This window comes from Homo sapiens, chromosome 6 (assembly GCF_000001405.40).
Source record: "Homo sapiens chromosome 6, GRCh38.p14 Primary Assembly".
NCBI lineage: Eukaryota > Metazoa > Chordata > Mammalia > Primates > Hominidae > Homo > Homo sapiens.
Genome location: NC_000006.12, coordinates 126,979,613 through 127,006,382, shown reverse-complemented (window position 1 = coordinate 127,006,382; position 26,770 = coordinate 126,979,613). Strand labels below are relative to the sequence as shown.

The 26,770-nt window shown below is 35.7% G+C and overlaps 1 long non-coding RNA gene across 7 annotated transcripts in view; it reads left to right on the top strand.

Annotated features, from left to right (window-relative positions):
* Positions 1-26,770, top strand: part of LOC105377989 (uncharacterized) — a 347,578-nt gene that overhangs the window by 206,462 nt on the left and 114,346 nt on the right. For 3 of the 7 annotated variants that reach the window (XR_002956387.2, XR_007059744.1, XR_007059743.1), the window contains 2 exons: positions 1,985-2,198; positions 6,000-6,100. The exons of the other annotated variants lie outside the window; for them this stretch is intronic. This is a non-coding gene — a long non-coding RNA (uncharacterized LOC105377989). The remainder of the gene's footprint in view (positions 1-1,984; positions 2,199-5,999; positions 6,101-26,770) is intronic. 7 annotated transcript variants of the gene reach the window in all.

Genomic DNA, 26,770 nt, shown 5'->3' with positions numbered 1-26,770 from the left:
AGTTGTGCCTAAAGCAATTAGCTAGAAATTTCCGTAAGTAAAGCGAATGTTTGAGAAAGAGCAAATTTCAATTTGCCTTTTCTCATTGGGATTCTGGACTTGAGAATTTGGTCCCTTGCACTACTGCCTCATTTATAGCTTTTGTTCTTGATTTATAGGAATAGAGCATTTACTCCTTTCTCCATAAATGTGTAGTATTGGAGCCTAGTTGGTTTAATAAACCACTTATAAAGCAATGAAAATGTGTTTTTTAAAAATAGAAGTCTTTGGAGAATATTAGCTAATTAAATAAATTAACCACAAAGATTAATGTAGAAAATACAGTGTAGAAAAACACAAAATGGAATTATAGGATAAATTATTAGTATTTTACATTAAAAAGCCAGGAAACAACAGATGCTGGAGAGGATGTGGAGAAATAGGAACACTTTTACACTGTTGGTGGGAGTATAAATTAGTTCAGCCATTGTGGAAGACAGTGTGGCGACTCCTCAAGGATTTAGAACCAGAAATATCATTTGATCTAGCAATCCCATTATTGGGTATATACCCAAAGGATTATAAATCATTCTACTATAAAGACACATGCACAAATATGTTTATTGCAGCACTGTTCACAATAGCAAAGACTTGGAACCAACCCAAATGCCCCTCAATGATAGACTGGATAAAGAAAATGTGGCAAATATACACCATGGAATACCATGCAGCCATAAAAAAAGGATGAGTTCATGTCCTTTGCAGGGACATGAATGAAGCTGGAAACCATCATTCTCAGCAAACTAACACAGGAACAGAAAACCAAACACTGTATGTTCTCACTCATAAATGGGAATTGAACAATGAGAACACATGGACACAAGGAAGGGAATATCACACACCGGGGCCTGTTGGCGGGTGGGGGGCTAGGAGACGGATAACATTAGGAGAAACACCTAATGTAGATGACGGGTTGATGGGTGCAGCAAACCACCATGGCACGTGTATACCTATGTAACAAATATGCACATTCTGCACATGTATCTCAGAACTTAAAGTATAAGTAAAAAATTATTAGTATTGTAAAAAATTAATTATGTATATGTTAATACTTCATTACTATTAAGTATCACACTATAATTGTTACATGATAATGATATATTTATATTTAGTTAATAATCTTGTATAATTTATAGTTTTCATAATTTTGTGTACAGGGGAAAAGTTAGCAGTCAATGAACTCAGGTGATCAGAAAATAAAACTTTGTTATCTTCATGAACATTATTCTTTTGGAGGCAGAAACATTTACTGAGACAATGTATCCTCCACTCCTGTTCTCAAAGTTGTATTTGCATTCTGAAACATTTGGGCAGGTGTGGACACTCCTCCCCACAAGCCTTGGCTCTACATACCCAAACTGTTGTCTGTTTGTGCAAGAATACACCCATTTTCCATCTGGTGCTCAGTACTTCCAGATATCTCTGAGCTGTCTTCATTTCTGCCTGCAGGCCCCTTCAGGTCCTGGCACAACTGAAATCTGAGCAGGGCTAAAGTGATGACACCCTTTGCCAGTTCATTATAAGTGACATTATAAGTGTTGACAGTGGTATAGCTGCCACTTTCAACATAAAAGGTTACTGAAGAAATTGTGGCTGTGAGCAAGAATAAAAATGCCTGATGGTATTAGGTGCCAAAGAACAAGATCCTACCTAGGAACACTCAGAACCATTTGGGGAGAATTTTCTGAAGACTAGATTGGGCAGAAATAGAGCCAGAACGTACTGTTGGTTATGTTGTTATTAGCTTATCCTACCCAGAGGTTAGCGTAGTCTGAAAAATATGAGTTGTATTCCTCTTTCTAAAAATGTGTAAGATAATAAAATTATACATACACAATGGCTGAGAGATTTTCATCAAACTTTCAGATCTCAATTCAATTTCTTTTTTTTTACCCAGACTTATGTAATTTTCTATCACCCTTGTGTTTTCAATCCCCATGGACAGCTCTTCAGAACTCATGAAGACATAAGGTGCTTCAAAAGAGGAGACTTTCGGAACATGAGCAGGGAAATTGTCACTTGATAGATGACAAGCATTGTGAGAAACAACAGTTTGCCTTTCTTCATTCCCTTCCTGGTTATCTTTCCTGTCACATGAAGAAGAAATGAAACACCAGAGAGAATCAGGTTATCATCATCTACACCAGCCACTGTCACTGGTTAAGTATTAGTTTAATATTCCATTCTTCATATAAGATGGTACCTGACCCACCATTCCCTGTACATGCATTTTGAATTGTTTCCCACACATGGCATTGCAGGAGAAGTTTCTTGGTCACTGTGGGGGCTGCTACTCTAAAGCAGGAGTTTTCAATCTTCATTGTCCTTGTTGCAGAACCCTTTGTTTAAAAGCCCAAGATGTAAAACAGATGAAAACAGAGCTGCTTTGTTAGAAACCAGGCACATGAGAGGGATCACAGTGTTTCTCTTTAGCTCCTTTGAGGACTTTGAAGACCCCTGCTCTAATGCAATTCTAACTTCTTGATTGTAACAAAATTTAGGAACACTATGAGTTTGCCCTGAAAGGAGACTCTCCAAGTGGGGAGGCACAGATGATCAAGGGGCTCTGTCTGCATCCTTTAGCTTCATATTCATCTTAGTTCTTGCACATGTTAGATCCACTCTCATCCTCATGACATACTCCTGGTAAATCATAGGCCCTGAATTTCTCATTACAGAGCTGATCGGTTGTAATTTCCTGCTACTAAAAGCCAAGTAATTACACCCCAAACTTTAAGTTCAAGGAAGGATGGAGATTAGGCTTGTTTTGTTCAGGATGTCATCCCATTGCATAATGTGCCTGGCATACACTGGGAATTCAATAAATATATGTGGACAGAATTGAATGAAGGCTCACAAATGGACAACCAATGGGGAAAAGCACAGAGACCTCAAAAAATATAAAAAGAGTGCAAAAGTTAAATGCATAGCTTTCTAGAGCAGCGATGGCACTCTTGTCACTAAGCTTATGAACTTGTTTCATCTCATTATTCGTTTTGAGTCAGATGCCCCCCAGAGGTTCTACTAGCTTTCCCTGGACTCTTATGACTTACCTCCTGGCCTGCTTTTTCTTAGTACCGTCTTAAAATTACCTTCCTGGGTATATTTTATATGCCCTTCTCTATAATGCACCTTGGCATGCCCATGATTAAGACAAAGAGAGCATGATACTTTCCCGCAGCTAATGGAGTGCTGGCCTTTGGTTTCTGGGAATTTTTGTGTGATTATTTCTTTATTCTGTCTAAGAATTATCAGAAATAGGCCAGGCGTGGTGACTTATGCCTGTAATCCCAGCACTTTGGGTGGCTGAGGTGGGCAGACCACCTGAGGTCAGGTGTTCGAGACCAGCCTGGCCAACGTGGTGAAACTTCATTTCTACTAAAAATACAAAAATTAGCTGGGTGTGGTGGTGCTACTTGGGAGGCTGAGGCAGGAGAATCGCTTGAACCTGGGAGGCAGAAGCTGCAGTGAGCCAAGACTGGGCCACTGCACTCCAGCCTGGGTGACAGAGTGAGACTCATCTCAAAAAAAAAAAAAAAAAAAAAGAATTACCAGAAATAACCTCATCTATACATAGTGAATGAGCTTTACTTGTGTAGTCCTTAATGTGTAGTCATATTTAAATAGAATTCTAATAAGAGTGATAAATGTAGAGGCATAGGAGTAAAGTGATCCCCTGAAATCTATAGAAAGCACTCAGAGTGAGAGGAGGGTGGTTGGAAGGTAGAGTAAGCTGAATAACGACCCCTAAAGGATGCCAAGTCCTAATTCCTGGGGCCCAGAAATGTTACCTTAGAAGGAAAAAAGTCTTTGTAGATGTGATTGAGTTAAAGATTTTGAGACAGAGAGAATATCCTGGATAATCACGGTAGACCCTAAATGCAATCACGTGTGTCCTAAAAGAGAGTGGTAGAGGGAGATTTGACACAGACAGTAGAGAAGAGGATACACACACAGAAAAGACAATGTGACGAGAGAGGCAGAGATTGGAGCAAAGAAGCCACAAGCCAAGAAATGTCAGCAGCCATCATAAATTGGAAGAAGCAAGGACGCAATCCTCTCCTAGAGCCTTGGGAGCGGGTACAGCACTGCTGGAGTCTTGATTTTGTCCAGGTAATACTGATGCTGGGCTTTTGGCACCCAGGACTGTGAGAGAGTAAATTTCTGTTGTTTCAAGTGACCAACTTTGCAATACTTTGTTACATGAAACAAATACATCAGGAAATGCGCCCCTTTAAGATCTAGTATTACATGTCTTCAAGCTGCTCATTGACAAGAGTTGCTAGGTTTAGGCACATCTACTGTGTGTTGGGGGGTGAGTGGGCATGTACATAGTCATGTATATCCATATATATATATGAAGAGTATCCGTATTGTTGGCTATTTCCTTATGGTTGAAATACGTAAGAGTTTTCTAAATCTTAGGGGATAAGAGAGAGAAGCTTTTGAGAGGCCAGACCACCACCATGAAAAACAATTTATTTTTATTTATTTATTTATTTTGTGACGGAGTCTCGCTCTATCGCCCAGGCTGGAGTGCAGTGGCACGATCCAAGCTTACTGCAACCTCCACCTCCTGGGTTCAAGAGATTCTCCTGCCTCAGCCTCCTGAGTAGCTGGGACTACAGGCGCCTGCCACAAAGCCTGGCTCATTTTTATATTTTTAGTAGAGATGGAGTTTCACTATGTTGGCCAGACTGGTCTCAAACTCTTGACCTCAAGTGATCCGCCCGCCTCGGTCTCCCAAAGTGCTGGGATAACAGGTGTGAAACATCATGCTTGGCCCATGAAAAACAATTCTAATCTATAAAATAGAGAGAAGAAAGGATGAGTGTGAACCTGAGATCACTCTGGGGACCAATGCTGTTATCAGACATTAGAATTACTAAGTAGACCTAGGAAGCAGACTTCTCAGTGGCTTAGGCAGTTAGTTGCTACTGGGATGATAAGGAAAATAGACTAGGGGATTTAGCTGTTAAATAAAATATGATATTTGTAAATTTATACTAGAGTCTATGTTACCTTGCTGTGCAAAGCCTCTGGCTTTAATAAGCAACAAGCTCTGCCTGCCCTCATGCAGATGAATACCTGGAGAATACCTATGTGGATCAAGACCTAGTGCAAGGAGCACTTGTTAATAAAGGGTAGTAAGTAAATGACCTCAAGGGCTGACACCCCTGGTCCAATAAACCCTCTGTTGGTGAAGCTTGAGGCACCAGCTCTTAAAGATTTCAGTTGAACTCGGGCCATACTTTTCCCTCTGAGGGGCCTTTTCATGACTGGGAACCTTCTTTCCAAGAGGCCAGGCTGAAATAAAACACCTAGCCTTGGCCTCAAAACAGAATGAATACATTGGGCTTTCTTTAAATTGTGTTCTAGTCAGGTCTTCCGCAAAAATTATAGATGTCAAAGCTCCTGTAAAAGTTCTGGGTAGTGAGAAGTACAGAATAGCTATCTACATTTTAAAGCCATCTGTGCATGAGCTTTAAATTCTCATCATGTCATGTAAAGAAAAAAAAAAAGATTGTTCACACATAAGCACTTACAATTTCAAACTGCTCCATGGTTCTGGAATTCTGAAAAATGTGTGTAAGTTCTCGAGACCAAAACTCGACATTCTGATAGATTTGCCAACATGCTCTACACTTAATTACAATATCCATAGGGCCCGCCTGCTTTTGCGGTAAGGTAGGAACCTCGAACTTGCTGTTCAACTTGCTAATTTTCTCACTCAGTTAATCATAAGCTTTTTGTAATTCTATATCCCAGAGACATGATTGTGTTGTCATCACTGTGGTGTGATGAAGGGACTTAGTCTTACCATGATCCTATAGAATGTTTGATTTCCCCTAGCTTTTGAAGTTTATAAAATTACAGCTTCCAGCAATGTTTTAATACTTTTCTAAAGAAACAGCAAAGACATAAAACTCATGTTTGCTTGATTCTGTTCCGTATTACAGGCCTTCAAAGTTCAACCTCCCTGGAACTCCAGAACTCCCCACTTTATAAGATGAATGGCTAATTGGATCCTAGTACATAAGGAAACACTGGCAAAATAGCGGTATATAACAAATGTTTCTTTTTATGATAGATCTACATCTGAAACAACGGTGAAAAAGCATGCATTAAATTAAAAAGCATAGTCTTCCATTTGTAAGTAATTTTGTTATGTGCTGCTTATGGGAGATTGTTTAGTTAAAGCTATATTACTGCAAAAGAGAGGCAAACAGAGACAGCACAGCACATTAGTAAAACACTAAAGCTTTTAATTTCCTCATTCATTCATTAAAGAAATATTTTCTTAGAGATTATGTTTGGCAATATGACACATTTTTGTAGAAAAATGCAATGAGACAATAATAAAAGTTGTCTTATAGAAACAACTTCTGCGATTAAGAAACTTATAAAATTTAAGACACAAGGTAAGGTGCTAGTTACATACTATGAAGATAATGATTATTAACATTTATTGGGCTCTGTGCCAGGTACAAGATATTAATACAAATTAATGCATCTGTTCCTCAGAATAGTCATCTAAGGAAGGTAGTGGTTTTCTAGGTAAGAAGTGTGAAACCCAAGGCTAGTAAATTGAGTAAATTATGAAGCTATGATTAAAATTTAGGTGATTTGTCTCCATGCCTATCCTATGCTATCTCACTGTGCTATAATTAAATGTATAATTAAAAGAATGCTTCTTGTTATAATGTGTAATTAAATACAAATGAAAAGCATTAAGTTAATTAAGCTTCATTTCAAGATGAAATTAGTCATGAAAAGTTTTTTTTGGAAGTGATCAGCATATAACTTCAATAAGGTTGGGTTTGAGTATAAATGAAAATGAAGGATGGTATTTATAGGTTAAAGGCACAGAGGTGACAAACAATGAGGATGTTCAAATAGACATGAACACAAGCAGAGGGTATATAGAAGGAAGTAATGGGAAGTGAGGTTCCCTCTCCCAACATTTTATTATAAAATTGTTTTAATACTCAGAAAAATGAAAGAATTGTATGTAAACATAAATATCTCGCTACCTTAATTCTGTCAGTAACATTTTAGTATATGTGTTTTGTCACATATCTATCTGTCCCTCTTTCTGTAAGCCAATCCATCTTAATTATAATTCATTTCAAAGTAAGTTGCAGACATCAGTATATTTCACCCCTAAACACTTCATCACATGTATCAGTGAGTTCAATAGTTGTTTAGTTATATTTTTGGAAGTAAAAGTTATATACAATGAATAACCAAATCTTAAATATAGCATTCAATGAGTTTGACAATTTCATATACATTTATAAAATAAACCTTCATCAAAATAAAGAACACTACCATTCCCGAAATTTATCTTTGGTTCTTATCAGTTATTTTTTGTAATTGCCACCTCAGAGGCAACCAATGCTCTGATGCTTTTCAACCATAGATTAGTTTGCCTTTTTTAAGACTTCATATAAAAAGAATTTCTTTCGTGTATTTTTTTCATTTAGTATTTTGTTTTTGAGATTTATTCATTTTGTTGTATCAGTAGTTTGTTCCTTTTTATGGGTAAGTTTCCATTGCATGAATATACTACTGTTTATCTGTCTATTAATAAACACCTGCATTGTTTTGAGTTTGAGGCTATCATGAATAACAGGTGCTACAAATATTCCTGTATACATTTTCTTTTCCTCAGAAAAATACCTAGTGGTGAAATTGTTGGAACCTAAAGTAAATATGTGTTTAGTTTTATGAGAAATTTCCATATCTTTTTTCAATTTCTATTAAAAATACATGAGACCTATGGTTACTCCATATTCTTGCCAACATTTGGTGTGTCAGACAGAAGTTAAGTGGTAAAGAGTAAATACTGACTAGATTGTGAAAAAACAGAATTTATTGCTAAAGCCTCTATCTTAAGTAGCAGATAGTCACTGGACTGTGGACTGGAAGATTGCCTGGGGAATGTGATGTTTGATAAGATTAATCTGGTGGTGGGGTACAAGATGGTGCTTGAAAATAAAGGACTATAGACAGAATCTAAGAAGGTTGTTGTAATAATTTAGGCATAATCTACTAATGACCAAAACCAAAGCAATGGGAATTTGAAAATAAGACAACATGAAAAACTTTATGAGGAAGTTATTTAAAGTATTTGGTGCCAATACATAGATAGGTAAATGAAGAGATGAAAAATTCCAAAATGGGTGCAGGGAAAACAGTATTACCATTAATAAGTATAGACAAACAAAAAGAGAGTGTTGGCTTAGTGATCATCAGGTTATTGGCTGTATGTATCCACAGACCAGCAAAATGACCATCTTTTACTGGGAGGAAAAGTAAGAGGCGGGAGGTTTAAGGAATAGAATTGGAATTAGGGAAAGGTCACCTCTGGAGATGACCTATACTGCTTACACAAATTGGCTTGGAGAAAGAAAAAATCCCTGTCAGTTGCTATAGAAGTCAGCAATTAAGAATTTAACTACAAACCACCTCAGATATAAGCTGCTCTATTCGCGATGCTCTAGATTTGCACCTTCTGTCTCTCCTGCCTGGAATATCTTTCCTTCACTTCTCCACCTGGTTACATGAACTTCAAAGACATCATCGAAATGTTGTCTTATATGTGGATTCTCCCTTGACTGCTATGGCACTTCACCCTCATATTTATCAGAGAATTTACTGTGCTGTCCTGGCATTGTAGACCTCTTATGCTTCTGTTCTTGCTGTACTGTTCTCTAGCCCAGTGTTTGATACTTAGATGCATAAAGATATTTGTAAATGAATGAAGTGCTTTAACTTCTATCCTCTCTGCTTCAAAATTTGTTTTCTTTTAAATTACTTTCTCATCCTTCCTTCTTTCTTAGAGAAAAAAAAAACAATTATTTCTTCCATTCAAAATTAAAAATCTCCTCTACCCCTTCTTATTATCTATCCACCATATGTGCTTTTATTCCTCACCCTCTATATATTATTTCTTTTGCTTCTTTAGTATTATCAAAAAATTCTGTACTTTTATGCATGATCGAGTCTTCTCCCATCCAAGAATAGTATTTTGCTACCCCTCTGAGTTATTTTCCTAGGTGTCTCCTTTTTTCATAACCAAACTTTGAGACAAAGAGTTGTTTCTGCTGCTTTTTCCAGTTCCTTACTACATACACCTTTGAAAACCATGTCTTTGTCTATTGCTCCAACTGCTCTGTGGAAACAGTCCTCCCAAAAGTCTCCAATGGTTGATAGATCCAATGCCTTTGAATCCCTTTTCAAATTCCCCAACACCTTTGTAGTATTTGACAGTGTTGAAAATCCTCACCTCATTGCTATTCTCTTCTTTGTGGTTTCCTTAACATTTTGCCATCTTTAACATCTAGTGTGACTGCCACAGTACTAGACACGTTACAAATGTTAGCACATTTGACCAAAGCACTGATTGTTCTCCAATCTCCTTCTTAAAAACAGAGTATTGTCCAAAGTCTTTAGATGGCATTCAGATTTGCTTTTAGTTATTCTCATAAAATGATATCAATCATTTTTCCTACTGTCTTTTCAGTCCTTCTAAATCCACTCTACTATTGCAGTATCCATTGCAACCTATACTCACTGAAGGCATTCCTATTAATAGTAGAAATAGTTATGGGACTATTTTTCTAGGATTATTATATATTTATGCTTCTATATTATAGGATTATCCTATAATATAGTATCCTTCGTCAAAATGTTCTTTATTTTCATGAAGGTTTATTTTATAAATGTATATGAAATTGTTAAACTCATTGAATGGTACATTTAAGATTTGCTTACCCATTATATATATGAAAGCATTAGACAATTCCAGCCTAATGTAAACTGACAACTTGTTAATTAACACCAATATTCTATAAGTAGAAATAATTATTTCTACTTATAAGAGAACTTAGTCTCACATATGTTAAATAGTAAATATTACTGGTCACGGATGAGCTGATTTGCACATTTGCTTAACTATTGGGTTGAGAATGTTACCTCTGTCTTTCATCTATCTGAATGTCCTTACTGTACATAGGATATCATATTATCCAAATCCTAACCATCTGTCAAAGTATATTTGGAATACTGTCCCTTCCAGGTAGTTTTATTTTCCCTGATTATTCTGACTGGAAGCAGTATTTCCCACTCTCAACTCACATGGCATTTAAAAAAGTATTAATAGACTATTTTTTAGAGCAGTGTTTTGTTTATAGAAAAGTTGAGCAGAAAGTACAGAGTCCCCATACACTCCCTCTTTCTCCACATACAGTTTCCTTTATTAACATCTTGCATTACTGTGGCATATTTGTTACAACTGATGAACTAATATTAGTACCTTATATTAACTAAAGTGCAGAGTTTACATTAGGGTCCATTCTCTGTACTATATAGTTCTATGGATTTTGACAAATGCATAATGTCATATATGCATCATTATAGGTTCAGGCAGAATGCTTTCACTTCCCCCAAAATCTTCTGTGCTCCTCCACCCATTCATCCCTCTCTCTCTCCCCATAAACCCCTCACAAGCACTGGTCTTTTTTATCTCTAGTTTTGTCTCTTCCAGAATGTCATGGTTGGAATCATACAGAATGTAGTTTTTTAAGATTTGCTTCATTCTTTCACTTAGCTAGCAATATGCATTTAAGTTTTCTTGCATGTTTTTTCATAGCTTGATAGATTATTCTTCTTTTTGCTGAATAATATTCTATTGTATGGATGTACCACAGTTGTTTATCCCTTTACCTATTGAAAGATGTCTTGGTGACTTCCAGTTTTTGGCAATCACAAATAATGCTGTTATAAACATTTGCATGGACATAAATTTCCAACTCCTTTGGGTAAATACCTAGAGTTTCAATTGGCAGATAGTAAGGTAAGAGTATGTTTATTTTTTAAAGAAATGGCCAAATACTCTTTCAAAGTAACTATACCATTTTGGTCTCCCACCAGCAATTAATGAGAGTTCCTTTTGCACATCTTTGTCAGCATTTGTTGTCAGTATTTGTGTTTCAGCTATTCTAATAGATGTGTAGAGTGGTATTTCATATTGTTTTAATTTGCATTTCCCTCTTGATGTATGATGTGAAGTGTCTTTTCAGGAGCTCACTTGCCATTGGTTTTTTTTCATTTATGAGGTGTCTGTTCACATCTTTTACCCATTTTTAAATTGGGTTGCTTGTTTTACTGTTGAGTTTTAAGAGTTCTTCATATATTTTGGATACAAGCTCTTTATCAGAGAAGTGTTTTGCAAATATTGTCTTCCAGTCAGTGCCTTGACTTTTCACTCTTTTAACGGGGTCTTTTGTAGAGCAGATCTTTTAATTTTAATAAAGTCCAATGTATTACATTTTTCTTTCAGAGATCATGCTTTTAGTGCTGTATGTAAGTAGTCATTACCAAACCTAATATCAGCTAGTCTCTTATGCTATAGCCTGTAAGTTGTTATAGTTTGGAGCCTTATATCTAGGTCTATGATCCATTTTGAGCTAATTTTTGTGGAAGATATAATCTGTGCTAGATTCATTTTTTAAAAACATGTGAATATTTTAGCATCATTTGGTGTAAAGACTATTCTTCCTCCACTGAATTGTCTCTGCTTTTTCATTATGTACCAGTTCACTCTATTTGCGTAGGTCTGTTTCTGGGCTGTTTATTCTGTTCCATTGGTCTATTTATCTGAGCTTTCACCAATATCACACTTTCTTGATTCCTGTGGCATTTAAAATACGTTACGTAGCAATTTCCCCATATATTGTGTTATTGTTGTAGCTGACTTATCTGACCAAATAGACTGGATGCTCTTTGAGGACAGGATGTTTATCTGATTTATTATCTTCTTTCCCATTTCTTCTAGTACAGTGGTTTGTATATAATAGGTCAAAAGAAGTATTGTATACAAAGCAATGTTTCTCTACTTTGTTCATTACAAACATTTGTGGAATTTTAGACAAATATATAGATTCTACTGAAATTTACAGAATACGAGTTCACATATTTATATGTTTAAAAGCCCAGTGGAAAAATCCAATCCTTAGCCAGGATTGGAACAGTGAGGTTAGTAGGAGTAGGAGTTTAATTTAGTAGGAGTTTAATTTAGACAAATTTGTTCAACTCTTTGTCTCTCTAATATCACCTCGGAAAAATAGAAGCCTCTCTACATCACTGTAAAATTTAAACAAGTTAACATATGAAAATGCCTTACATTGTTTCTAGCACATGGTAAGCATTTACTAGATGTTAGTTTCTCCATCTTTTAACCCTCAAAATGTAATTATTCACTGAATGTTTCTTAAGTTGAAATGTTGAATCACAGAATCATAGACCTACATGTTTCCTGTTTCCCACCCATTTGTTCCTCCTTTACTTAGGATATCTTCCAAAGCTTCCCACAGTCCTAGTCTCCATCTCTTTTTTATTCTGCTGTACCCTCTGTCATGCAGCCTCTGATACTCCATCACTAAATTAACCTGCACAACCATCACCTCTTCCCTTGGCAGAGCACCACCTTCCTTCAACTTTGTAGCTCTGTCTCTTTCCAAAGTAATTTTGAGCCAATCTTAATAAATTCCCTCCTCTCCACTGTGGTTAAATAGCAGCTTGCCAATGCCATATATTTCAGCATAGTTCCCACCATAAATGCTATCTACTAAAATATAAGAAGCAATCCCAATTTAAAAATACCCAGCCGGGTGCAGTGGCTCATGACTGTAATCCTATCACTTTGGGAGGCTGAGGCGGGTGGATCACTTCAGGTCAGGAGTTCGAGACCAGTCCGGTCAACATGGTGAAATCTTGTTTCTACTGAAAATACAAAAACTAGCCAGGCATGGTGGCAGGTGCCTGTAATCCCAACCACTCAGGGAGCTGAGATAGGAAAATCACTTGAACTGGGGAAGCAGAGGTTGCAGTGAGCTGAGATGCCACCATTGCACTCCATCCCGGGCAACAGAAAGAGACTCCACCTCAAAAAAAAAAAAAAAAAAAAATTACCCAAGCTATCTGTACCACAGTTTGGAAAAACAAAACAAAACACATTTTATTGAGATAGCTGTATAAATGCATTTAATCATAAAATGGAATTAAAATAACTTACTTCCCATCTAACAGCCTCTGAAACATCAACAAATAAAACAAACATTTATATACAAAGTTGGCCAAATACTTGTTTTATATATGCAACTAACCAGATGTAAACATTTCTTAGGCAGCTACTAGCACAAAGTCTTATGCGACATGCCGGGAACAGTTTTAGACTTTGCCCTTGAGGAGCTTATAGTTTTAGTAGAGATGGACAGATATAAATACTGTAGACCACTTTGTGTTCCACTACACATTTTGATAGATTTAATTTTGATATCAGACTAATGTGGTGTATAACTGTACGTTTCAAATATTTATATGCTTATGAATCTCCTGGGAATCTTGCCCATTATGTTGAGGGTGGGGTCTGAGATTCTGTGTCTCCCAAGTTCTCAGATAGTGCTGATAAAGCCTATTTGCGGACCACAGTGTAGTGAGGGTCTCAACAGTCTTTCAGGCTGTCATTTGAATATAAGCTCTGCCACTCATCAACTGTGTCCTCTTAGGTAAGTTACTCATCCTCTCTGGAACTCATTGGGTAAATGGAGAAAATAATACCTACCACACAAGATTTTGCAAATATTCATTTAGATAATATATAAATAATTTACTATATACTTAATAATGTGTAGCTATATACAAATTATATAAATGCACATGTAATCTGTATATGTGTGTGTATATATATATGTACTCTGTATTATATGTAGTTTTTATACAGAGACTGTATAAATGTAAGCTTCTCTTATCCCTATCTTTGATAGCATTTTCAGATTCTTAAAAAGTATTTAAAAAAAAGTGTTACTACTAGATTTAAAACTAGAAGACTTAGATTCAAGGATTAGCTCTGCCACTTATAGCTACATAACTTTAGGAAAGTTAAAATCACTCTTCTGAACTTCAATTTTGTCATTCATAAAATAAGATTAATAAAACCTTAATAAAGATGCTCCTTGATTTATGATGGGACAACTTCCAACAACCCATTCTTAAAATGGAAGATATTATTAAGTGGAAAATGTATGTAATACACCTAACTTACCAAACATCATAGCTTAGACCAACCTACCTGAACCGTGCTCAGAACACTTGTATTAACCTACAGTTGAGCAAAATAATATAACACAAAGCTTATTTTATAATAAAGTACTGAATATGTCATGTAATTTACTGAATAAATACTGTGCTGAAAATGAAAAACAGAATGGCTGTGTAGGTACTCAAAGTATTGTTTCCACTGAATGCCTATGGCTTTCACACTATCATAATGTCAAAGAATCACGTCAAACAATTGTAAGTCAGAAACCATCTGTAAAGGAATGTGGAAAGGATTAAATGAATGGAAGTACACAATTAATTTGTAAATTATAGGCATAGGATATTCTATTTGGAGCCTATCTTGATTAGTTAAAAATAATCTTTTTTTCCCTTTTTAACTTCTGGCAACATGGACTGAGAAAAATGAAAATAATTGAGGAATATTCTAGTGATACGATTTAATACGGAATGCCAAGGTGGTTGATTCTAAAAAAATTGCCTCGTGTTTTCTTCAACAGGATTTTTTTTAGTCTGAAATATCTACATGACTTTTTCCATGTTGCACTTTGTAGTGTAAACACAGCCTCAAGATGTATTGAAAGCATTAGACAATTCCAGCCTAATGCAAAGTGACAACTTGTTAATTAACACCAATATTGGGAACAGCGTGTTTACCAGCCAAATTTCATAGATAACAAGAACATCGAGCATACTTTTAATCTTGTTTCACAGCAGTGCAGTATTTTAAAGTTGTTGATGAAAATGAAGACTTTCATTCATATTTTAATTGAATAGTGGAGTTAGTTAATTTACTAAAACAGATAGAGCTGTTGTATTAGGAATATGAGCAATAATCTAGTGAATTTGTCTTTTAAAGAGTATGCAACTGAATATTCACATGCACACTTATTTTTTGAAACTAGTGTGATGACACTAACTCACATGTAACAAAACAAAACCATGTTTTTTAAAAAATTGCTGAATTGGTGTTAGTTTTGATAAAAAAATTGTCTTCACACTACTTTTGATTAAAAGCTCATGTAAATAAGTTGTATAAGAAAACCACGTTTAAGGTACTTTGGGTTAAAATCCATGTTTATGAGCTTCTCTAATGCATGATTTTAAAATAATTAATATTTAGAACTTTGCAGTGAACATATAACATGCAGATTCTGCTCTTCAGTGATGTATAGAAATGTCTTTAAGTAATCACCTTAAGATATTGTGTTCTGCCTTTGCCCTGCTACACCTGGAGCAGGTGCTGCTAATATAAATACTTTGAAAAAGAAAATCATTCTTACTGATTACATGTGGTTAAAAATGGAATCTAGGAAGATTTGTCATTCAAGGGGTGCTTGTCTCCACCCTGGTCTTTGTCTTGATTATGTGGTCTCTTCGCATAGCAGCTTCCTTCCTTGACTGGTTTGCTGCACACTGCACAGATGTTTCTCCTATTGCTGCTACATGGTGATTTTTTTCAAGCAGCTCCATAGACAGATATTTCCAGATGTGCTCTCCATTTCTCTGGATAGACCTTTTCTCCTTACAAAGAGCAGATCATACTGCTCCATAGGCTTTTGATCTATTGACTATAGAAAAAATAAATAGTACTTCATTGATGTTGTGCTTTGGGGGCTTTGACAATAGCACTCACAATAAGTCCCCTCTTCACTCTTTGAAACACTACTGGCAGATGTTTTCCATGGACTTCTCCACCCAGTAGTCCTTATTCTCATCCCAGCTTCTACTTCCAAGGAGAAGGTGAATTATTGAATCTCAGTCTCTGCTTTCTGTTTACATTTGATTTAAGGTTACCTTTACCTGCACTTTGAGATTAACAGCAAAATTTAGTTCTTATCAAATTAAGATCTAGTTAATACTTTGTTTTGGTAATAAGGTAAGTAATTTTAGGTAATGTATATTACTAACAAAAATAAATTTTAATTCTTTTTACTTAACAATTTTATTCACCCACATTTACAGAGAAAAGCATGAGCCAAGATTACCTTACTATTTAAATATTTTTTTTTCTTTCATCCACCCATTTGTCCACCTACTCATTCATTCATGCATGACTATTTAGCACCTATTAGTTGAAGACCTGCCAGGTAACTGACACTGGGGATACAGAGGCAGAAGAGATAGAATCTCTGACCTCAGGAAGCTCAGGAACCAGTTGTGGAAGCCAATATTAGATATGTAATATGAGGGTTTTTGTTGTTGTTGTTGTTGTTGTTTGTTTTTTTTGAGACAGGGTCTCGCTGTGTTCCCCAAGCTGGTGTGCAGTAAGGTAATCTTGGCTCACGGCAACCTCTGCTTCCCAGGCTCAAGCAATCCTCTAACCTCAGCCTCCTGAGTAAATGAGACTACAGGCATGTGCCACCATGCCCTGCTAATTTTTTTTTTTTTTTTTTTTTTTTTTGCATTTTTAGTAGAGATGAGCTCTCGCCATGTCACCCAGGCTGGTCTTGAAATCCTGGACTCAAGAGAGTCTGCCACCTCGGCCTCTCGAAGTGCTAGGATTACAGACATGAGCAACCGTGCCAGGCCTAAGTACTTTGATGGCAGTCTATAAAGAGTTCAGAAAGGATGAAAGGAAGGAACATTTGGATGATGCACATAGCAATGCTTTAAGCAAATATGACACTTCAACTAAAGTTATGACATATAATAAACTGTTGGTGACTTAGAAGAACTCTTTTGTGTCTTATGAACAATAGACATTTTATAAAACAATAATAGCCAAGGGCATGTTTTCATTTGCACTTTGAAATAGAATTTAAAGATATTTGGGATTATGATATTTTACAGAGAGAATACAAATAAAATAGATTATTATCCACAGAGATTTTCTGATTCTAAATGTTAGATAAGCAGAACTACTTTCCTGTTGCAAATTCTATTACCCTTTATTAGGTACTATACTAAATGGGACAATTAACGTGAAGTAAAATGTTTTTGAGAAAATGGCTTTCTACTTCCTCAAGGAAAGTGTATCTGCTTTTTAAACTTTATATTCGAGGTATCTTGATAAAATAAAGCTATGCCAATAGAATTCTGATAGATCACTCTCTTTATTAAAAATGTTAGATATGGGGGGCTACGTGTGCAGGTGTGTTACGTGGATATATTGCCTAATGATGAGGTTTGGGCTTCTAGTGAATCCATCATCCAAATAGTGAACATTGTACCAGACAGATAATTTTTCAACCCTTACCGCTCTCCCAACCTTCCCCTTTTTGGAGTCCCCATTGTCTATTATTTCCATTTTTGTATCAATTTGTACACATTGTTTAGCTCCTACTTATAAGTGAGAACATGCAATATTTTATTTTCTGTTTCTGAGTTATTTCACTTAGGATAATGGCCTCCTGTTCCACCCATTTTGCTGTGAAGGACATGATTTCATTCTGTTTTATGGCTGCATAGTATTCCATGGTGTGTATATACCACATTATCTTTTTCTTTCTTTTTTTAATGTTCAATAAAATCATAAAATATAATTATATACATCAAAATCTTCCTATATAACAAAAGGCATTTTGTATTTGTGTCTGCCATTTTTATTTTTATTTTTTATTTTACTATACTTTAAGTTCTGGGATACATGTGCGGAACCTGCAGGTTTGTTACATAGGTATACATATGCCATGGTGGTTTGCTGCACACATCAATCCATCATCTACATTAAGTATTTTTCCTAATGCTATCCCTTCCCTTGCCCCCCACTCCCGGACAGGCCCCAGTGTGTGATGTTCCCCTCCCTGTGTCCATATGTTCTCACTGTTCAACTCCCACTTATGAGTAAGAACATGTGGTGCTTGATTTTCTGTTCCTGTGTTAGTTTGCTGAAAGTGATGGTTTCCAGCTTCATCCATGTCCCTGCAAAGGACATGAACTCATCCTTTTTCATGGCTGCATAGTATTCCATGCATATGGAATATAAAAGTATTCCATGCATATGGAATATAAAGTATATGTGCCACATTTTCTTTATCCAGTCTATCATTGATGGGCATTTGGGTTGGTTCCAAGTCTTTGCTATTGTGAACATTGCTGCAATAGACTTACATGTGCATGTGTCTTTATAGTAGAATGATTTATAATCCTTTGGGTATAGCTCAGTAATAGGATTGCTGAGTCAAATGATATTTCTGGTTCTAGATCCTTGAGGAATTGCTACACTGTCTTCCACAATGGTTGAACTAATTACTCTCCTGCCAATAGTGTAAAAATGTTCCTATTTCTCCACATCCTCTCCAGCATCTGTTGTCTCTTGCCTTTTTAATGATTGCCATCCTAACTAGCATGAGATGGTATCACATTTTGGTTTTGATTTGCATTTCTCTAATGACCAGTGATGATGAGCTTTTATTCATATGTCTGTTGACTGCATAAATGTCTTCTTTTGAGAAGTGTCTGTTCATATCCTTTGCCTACTTTTTGATGTGTTCTTTGTTTTTTTCTTGTAAATTTGTTTAGGTTTCTTGTAGATTCTGGATATTAGCCCTTTGTCAGATGGAAAGATTGCAAAATTTTTCTCCCATTCTGTAGGTTTCCTGTTCACTCTGATGATAGTTTCTTTTGCTGTGCAGAAGCTCTTTAGTTTAATTAGATCCCATTTGTCAATTTTGGCTTTTGTTGCTGTTGCTTTTGGTGTTTTGGTCATGAAGTCTTTGCCCCTGCCTATGTCCTGAATGGCATTTCCTAGGTTTTCTACTAGGGTTTTTATGGTTTTAGGTGTTACTTTAAGTCTATAATATATCATGAGTTAATTTTTGTATAAGGTGTAAGGAAGGGGTCCAGTTTCAGTTTTCTGCATATGGCTAGCCAGTTTTCCCAACACCATTCATAAAATAGGGAATCCTTTCCCCATTGATTGTTTTTATCAGGTTTGTCAAAGATCAAATGGTTGTAGATGTGTGGTGTTATTTCTGAGGCCTCTGTTCTGTTCCATTGGTCTATATATCTGTTTTGGTACCAGTACCAAGCTATTTTGCTTACTGTAGCCTTCTAGTATAGTTTGAAGTCAGGTAGTGTGGTACCTCCAGCCTTGTTCTTTTTGCTTAGGATTGGCTTGGCTATACTGGCTCTTTTTTGTTCCGTATGAAATTTAAACCAATTTTTTTCTAATTCTGTGAATAAAGCCAATGGTAGCTTGATGGGAATAGCATTGAACCTATAAATTACTTTGGACAATATGGCCATTCTCACAACATTGATTCTTCTTATCCATGAGCATGGAATGTTTTTCCATCTGTTTGTGTCCTCTCTTACTTCCTTGAGCAGTGGTTTGTAGTTCTCCTTGAAGACGTCCTTCACATCCCTTGTAAGTTGTATTCCTAGGTATTTTATTCTCTTTGTAGCAATTATGAATGTGAGTTCATTCATGATTTGGCTCTCTGTTTGTCTCTTATTGGTGTATAGGAATGCTTGTGATTTTTGCACATTGATTTTGTATCCTGATATTTGCTGAAGTTGCTTATCAGTTTAAGGAGTTTTGGGGGTGAGATGATGGAGTTTTCTAAATATACAATCACATCATCTGCAAACAGGGATAATTTGACTTCCTCTCTTCCTGTTTGAATACACCTTATTTCTTTCTCTTGACTAATCGGCCTGGCCAGAATTTTCAATACTATGTGAATAGGAGTGGTGAGAGAGGACATCTTTGTCTTGTGCTGGTTTTCAAAGAAAATGCTTCCAGCTTTTGCCCATTCAGTATGATATTGGCTGTGGGTTTGTCATAATACCTCTTATTATTTTGAGATATGTTCCATCAATACCTAGTTTATTGAGTGTTTTTAGCATGAAGGGATGTTGAGTTTTATTGAAGGCTTTCTCTGCATCTATTGAGATAATCATGTGGTTTTTGTCATTGGTTCTGTTTATGTGCTGGATTACATTTATTGATTTGTGTATGTTGAACCAGCCTTGCATCCCACGGATGAAGCCGATTTGATCTTGGTGGAAAAGTTTTTTGATGTGCTGCTGGATTCGGTTTGCCAGTATTTTATTGAGGATTTTTGCATTGATGTTCATCAGGGATATTGGCCTAAAATTTTCTTTTTTGTTGTGTCTCTGCCAGGTTTTGGTATCAGGATGATCCTGGCCTCATAAAATGAGTTAGGGAGGAATCCCTCTTTTTCTACTGTTTGGAGTAGTTTCAGAAGGAATGGTACCAGTTCCTCTTTGTACCTCTGGTAGAATTCGGCTGTGAATCCATCTGGCCCTGGGCTTTTTTTGATTGGTAGGCTATTAATTACTGCCTCAGTTTCAGAACTTGTTATTGGTCTATTCAGGGATTCGATTTCTTCCTGGTTTAGTTTTGGGAGGGTGTATGTGTCCAGGAATTTATCCATTTCCTATAGATTGTCTAGTTTATTTGCTTAGAGGTGTTTATAGTATTTTCTGATGATGGTTTGTATTTATGTGGGATCAGTGGTGATCCTTTATCATTTTTTATTCTGTCTATTTGATTCTTTTCTCTTTTCTTCTTTATTAGTCTAGCTAGTGGTCTATCTATTTTGTTAATCTTTTCAAAAATCCAGCTCCTGGATTCACTGTTTTTTGAATGGTTTTTCATGTCTCTTCTTCTTCAGTTCTGTGCTGATCTTAGTTATTTCTTGCCTTCTGCTTGCTTTTGAATTTTTTGCTCTTGCTTCTCTAGTTCTTTTAATTGTAATGCTAGGTTGTCCATTTTAGATCTTTCCTGCTTTCTCTTGTGGACATTTATTGCTATAAATTTCCCCCTAAACACTGCTTTACTTGTGTCCCAGAGATTCTGGTACATTGTGTCTTTGTTCTTATTGGTTTCAAAGAACTTAATTATTTCTGCCTTAAGTTTGTTATTTACCCAGTAGTCATTCAGGAGCAGGTTGTTCAGTTTCCATATATTTGTATGGTTTTCAGTGAGTTTCTTAATCCTGAGTTCTAATTTGATTGCACTGTGGTCTGAGAGACTGTTTTTATGAATTTTGTTCCTTTATATCTGCTGAGAAGTGTTTTACTTCCAATTATATGGTCAATTTTAGAATAAGTACTATGTGGTGCTGAGAAAATTGTATATTCTGTTGATTTGGGGTGGAGAGTTCTGTAGATGTCTATCAGGTCCACTTGGTCCAGAGTTAAGTTCAAGTCCTGAGTATCCTTGTTAATTTTCTGTCTTGTTGATTTGTCTAATATTGACAGGGGGGTGTTAGTGTCTCCCACTATTATTGTGTGGGAGGCTAAGTCTCTTTGTAGGTGTCTAAGAACTTGCTTTATGAATCTGGGTGCTCCTGTATTGGGTGCAGATATATTTAGGATAGTTAGCTCTTCTTGTTTCATGGATCCCTTTATCATTAAGTAATGACCTTCTCTGTCTCTTTTGATCTTTGTTGGTTTAAAGTCTGTTTTATCAGAGACTAGAATTGTAACCCCTGCTTTTTTTTTTCTTTCCATTTGCTTGGTAAATATTCCTCCATCCCTTTATTTTGAACCTATGTGTGTATTTGCACATGAGATGGGTCTCCTGATACAGCAACACCAGTGGGTCTTGACTCTATCCAATTTGCCAGTCTGTGTCTTTTAATTGGGGCATTTAGTCCATTTACATTTAAGGTTAATATTGATATCTGTGAATTTGATCCTGTCATCATGATGCTAGCTGGTTATTTTGCACATTAGTTGATGCGGTTTCTTCATAGTGTCATTGGTGTTTATATTCTGGTATGTTTTTGCAGTGGCTAGTACCGGTATTTTTTTTCTTTTCCATATTTAGTGCTTCCTTCTGGAGTCTTGTAAGGCAGGCCTGGTGGTGACAAAATCCCTCAGCATTTGCTTGTCTGTAAAGGATTTTATTTCTCCTTCACTTATGAAGCTTAGTTTGGCTGGATATGAAATTCTGGGTTCAAAATTCTTTTCTTTAAGAATGTTGAATATTGGCCCCCCACTCTTCTGGCTTGTAGGGTTTCTGCAGAAAGATCCCCTGTTAGTCTGATGGGCTTCCCTTTGTGGGTAGCCTGACCTTTCTCTCTGGCTGCCTGTTTCAAACTTGGTGAATCTGATGATTATGTACTTGGGGTTGCTCCTCTCAATGAGCTGCCTTTCTTTCAGAGATGCCCTGCCCAGAGAGGAGGAATCTAGACAGGCAGTCTGGCTACAGTGGCTTTGCTGCACTGTGGTGGGCTGCACCCAGTCCAACCTTCTTGTGGTGTTTGTTTACGCTGTGAGGGGAAAACCACCTACTGAAGCCTCAGTAATGGCGGATGCCCCTCCCCTCACCAAGCTGGAGTGTCCCAGGTCGACTTCAGACTGCTGTGAGGCAGCAAGAATTTCCTGCCAGTGGATCTTAGCTTGCTGGGCTCTATGTGGGTGGGACCTGCTGAGCAAGACCACTTGGCTCCCTGGCTTCACACCCTTTCCAGGGGAGTGAAAGGTTCTGTCTCGCTGAGGTTCCAGGTGCCACTCAGGTAAAAACAAACAAACAAACAAACAAACACCAGTAAACTCCTCAGTTGGAAATGCAGAAATCACCCGCGTTCTGCGTTGGTCTCACTGGGAGCTGCAGACCGTAGCTGTTCCTATTTGGCCATCTTGCTCGGAACCTATATACCACATTTTCTGTATCCAGTCATCTCATGAGGGATGCTTAGGTTGATTCCATGACTCTGCTATTGTGAATAGTGCTACAATAAACATATGAGTGCAGATATCTTTTTGATAAAATAATTTCTTTTCCATTGGGTAGATATCCAGTAATAGGGTTGCTAGGTTGAATAATAGTTCTATTTTTAGTTCTTTGAGAAATCTTTATACTGTTTTTCACAGGAGTTGAACTAATTTACATTCCTAACACTGTATACGTTTTCTTTTCTCCATATCCTCCTCAACATCTATTATTTTTTGACTTTTTAATGATAGCCATTCAACAATAGTGTAAGATGTCTCATAGTGGTTTTCTTTTGCATTTCTCTTATAATTAGTTTGAGCATTTTTAAAACATGTTTGTTGGCCACTTGTGTGTCTTCTTTTCAGAAGTGTCTGTTCATGTCATTTGCTCACTTTTAATGAGTTGTATTTTCTTGTTGATTTAAGTTCCTTATAGATTCTGAATATTAGTCCTTTGTCAGATGTATAGTTTGCAAATATTTTTTCCTATTCGTAAGTTGCCTGTTTACGCTGCTGACTTTCTTTTGCTGTGTAGAATCTCTTTAGTTTAATTAAGTCCCTTTTGTCCATTTGTCCAATTTGTGTATTTGTTTTTGAGGTCGTAGTCATAAATTCTTTGTCGAGGCCATTGTCCAGAAGAGTTTTTCCAAAATCTACAAGAAACTCAAACAACTCAACAAGAAAAAAACAAAGAACCAATTAAAAAGTAGGCAAAGTATATGAACAGATATTTCTCAAAAAAAGACATTCAAATGATGAACAAACATAAAATAAAATTCAATATCACTAATCATCAGAGAAATGCAAGTTAAAACCACAATAATACGCCATCTTACACCATACTAGGAAATCATACTACAAATTATATTTCCATTTGAATAATTTTTTTTGGATGAAGTCCAATTTCTATATATTTTTCTTTGGTTTCTTGAAGGTTTTTTGTGTTATATCTAAGAAACTCTTGTCTAATCCCAGGTCACAAAAATTTATACCTCTTTTCTTCTAAGTGTTTTATAATTTCAACTCTTACATTTAGGTCTTTGATGTATTTTGAGTTAAATTTTGCATGTGGTGTGAGGTAGGGGAATAAATTTATCTTTTGCATAGGGACACACAGTTGTCACAGCATCATGTATTGAAAGGATTATTCTTGTTCCCATTGACTGGTGTTGACATCCTTGTTGAAATTCACTTGGCTGCAAACACAAAGGTTTCTTTTTAGACTCTCGATTCTATTCCATTGATGTATTGTCTAGCCTTATTCCTATACCATACTTTCTTGATTGCTATAGGCTTTTGGTGGCTTTTCAAATTAAGAATTGCGAGTCTTTTAATTTTGTTCATCCTTTTTCAAGATTATTTTGGCTCTTCTGGATTCATTCCATTTCATATACATTTTGAGATCACTTTGTCCATTTTTTCTAAGAAAAGCAACTGGAAGTTTAAAAGAGATTGCAATCAATATAAAGATCAATTTGGGGAGTATTATGATCTTAAAAATATTAAATTTTCCAATCTAAGAACATAGTATGCCTTTCCATTTACTTAGGTCTTCTTTAAAATTTTTTAAACAAGGTTTTATAGTTTTTAGTCTACAAGTCTTAAACTTGTTTTGTTAGATGTATTCCTAAGTATTTTATTCTTTTGATGCTACTATAAATGTTTTTTCCTATTTTCACTTTTGGAACATTTATTAATATAGAAATACAACTGATTTTTGTATATTGATCTATCCTGAAACCAAAATTGCTGAACTCTTATTAACTCCAGCAGTTTTGAATGTTCATGTGTTTATGTGTGAATTCTTTAAAGTTTTGTATATATAAGATCATGTCATTAACAAATACAGAAAATTTTACTTCTTTTTTTCCCAGTCTGAATGCCTTTATGTCTTTTTCCTATCTAAATGTTCTAGTGTAACCTCCCATAAAATGTTAAATACCAGTGGGGAAAGTGGACGTCTTTGTCTTATGTGGAAACCCTTCAGTCTTTTATGAAGAAATCTTTTTGTCTTTAACCATTAAGTATGATGTAAACTATACATTCTCTATGAATTCCCTTTGTTACATTGAGGACGTCTTTCCCATTTGTAGCTTGTAGAGTTGAAAAGATGTTAGACCTTGCCAAATGCTTTTTATACATCTATTGAGATGATCAAGTGTTTTCTTCTTTTTTCGATTAATATAGTATATTACATTGATTAGTTTTATTGTATGAAACAACTTTGCATTCCTAGGCTAAATCGAATTTGATCATGATCCACAGCACTTTTTATATGTTGTTGGATTTAGTTTTTCATTATTTTGTTAAGGATTGTTGAACCTATATTCATGAGGGATTTAGGTCTGTGATTTTCTTTCCTTGTGATAACTGTTTGATTTTTGTGTCAGGGCAATAACGACTTCATAGAATGAGATAGTATTTCCTCCTTCTCTTCTATTTTTGGGAAAACTTTTAGAAAGATTGGTGTTAATTCTTTAAATGTTGGTATAACTAATCATTAAAGTCATCTGGTCCTGAACTTTGTTTGTGGGAAGTTTTTTAAATTTAAGATTACTGATTCAAACTCAATCTTAATAGTAATAAGTCTATTCAAATTTGCAATATTTTCTTCAATCAATTTTTGAGGTTTGTGTCTTTCTAGAATTTTGCACATTTAATCTAGGTTATGTAATTTGTTGGTATAAAAAGTTCATAGAGTTTTCTCAGAATATATTTTTAAAAATTTCTTTAAGGTCTTCTCCTTCATACATGATTTTAGTAATTTGAGTCTTGTCACTTTCTTTTTCTGTTAGTTTAGCAAAAGTTTTGTCAATTATGTTGATAGCTTCAAAAAATAACTTTTGGTTTCATTGATTTTCCGTATCATTTTTCTATTCTCTATTTTGTTTATTTCTGCTCTTTTCTTTATTTTATTTCTTCTACTTGCTTTGGGTTTAGCTTGGTCTTTTTTTTTTTCAATTTCATAAAGTAAAAGGTTAAGATTGATTTGCATCTGTCTTCTTTTTCAATGTAGGCATTTACAGGAATGCAGTTTCCTTTAGGCATTTTTTTTAATCTCATAAGTTTTGATAGGTTTTATTTTCATTTGCATACATCCTATAGTATTTTCCACTTACCCTTATGATTTCTTTTTTGACTCATTGATTATTTAGGAGCATGTTTAATTTCCACATATATTTGTAAATTTCTCAAGTTTTCTTCTGTTATTGATTCCTAATTTTATTCCATTATGGACAGAGAAGATACTGTGTATTATTCTAATCCTTTTAGATTTATTGAGACTTGTTTTATAGCCTAGCATACAGTCTATCCTGGAAAATGTTGCATATACTATCAAGAAGAATGTGTATTTTGCTGTTTGGAGTGACTTATTCTATAAATGTCTGTTAGGCCTAGTTGGTTTATAGCATTGTCCAAGTCTTCTATTTCTTTGCTGATATTCTGTTTAGTTGTTCTATCTATTATTGAAACTTGTGTAGGGGCAGAAAGGTGTGATACCTTTCCTTACCCATCATAATGGTCACTGCTGACTCTCATATAACAAAGGCAAGTTAACAAGAGAAAAGTATAGCAAATATACTTAAAGTTTTATGTGACATGAGAGCCTTCAGAGATGAAGGCTGAGGGAAAACAGTCCATTTGTATAGTTAGGTTTGTTGAAGAATCAACAGCCATGTAGAAATGTAATTGGACAAAAAAGTGAATGATCTAATAGTAACAGAGTGGGGAAATCTAGCAAGGCTTGTCTCTTCAGATTCTTTTTGACCTCTCTGTGTAGCATTTCTTCCTCCCAGGTATAGGGGAGAACTTCTTCTGGAACGAGGGTGTTATGACCTACTATTAGAAAAGGTAGGTCAGAGAATTTCATTATGGCCAGCTCTCACAGAAAGATGGGAAAAGGTTAGAGTAATATTTCTAGGTTTCCTGGCTGGCTTTGGGGAAGAGGGGTTCTAGTTTCTATGACCTGCCT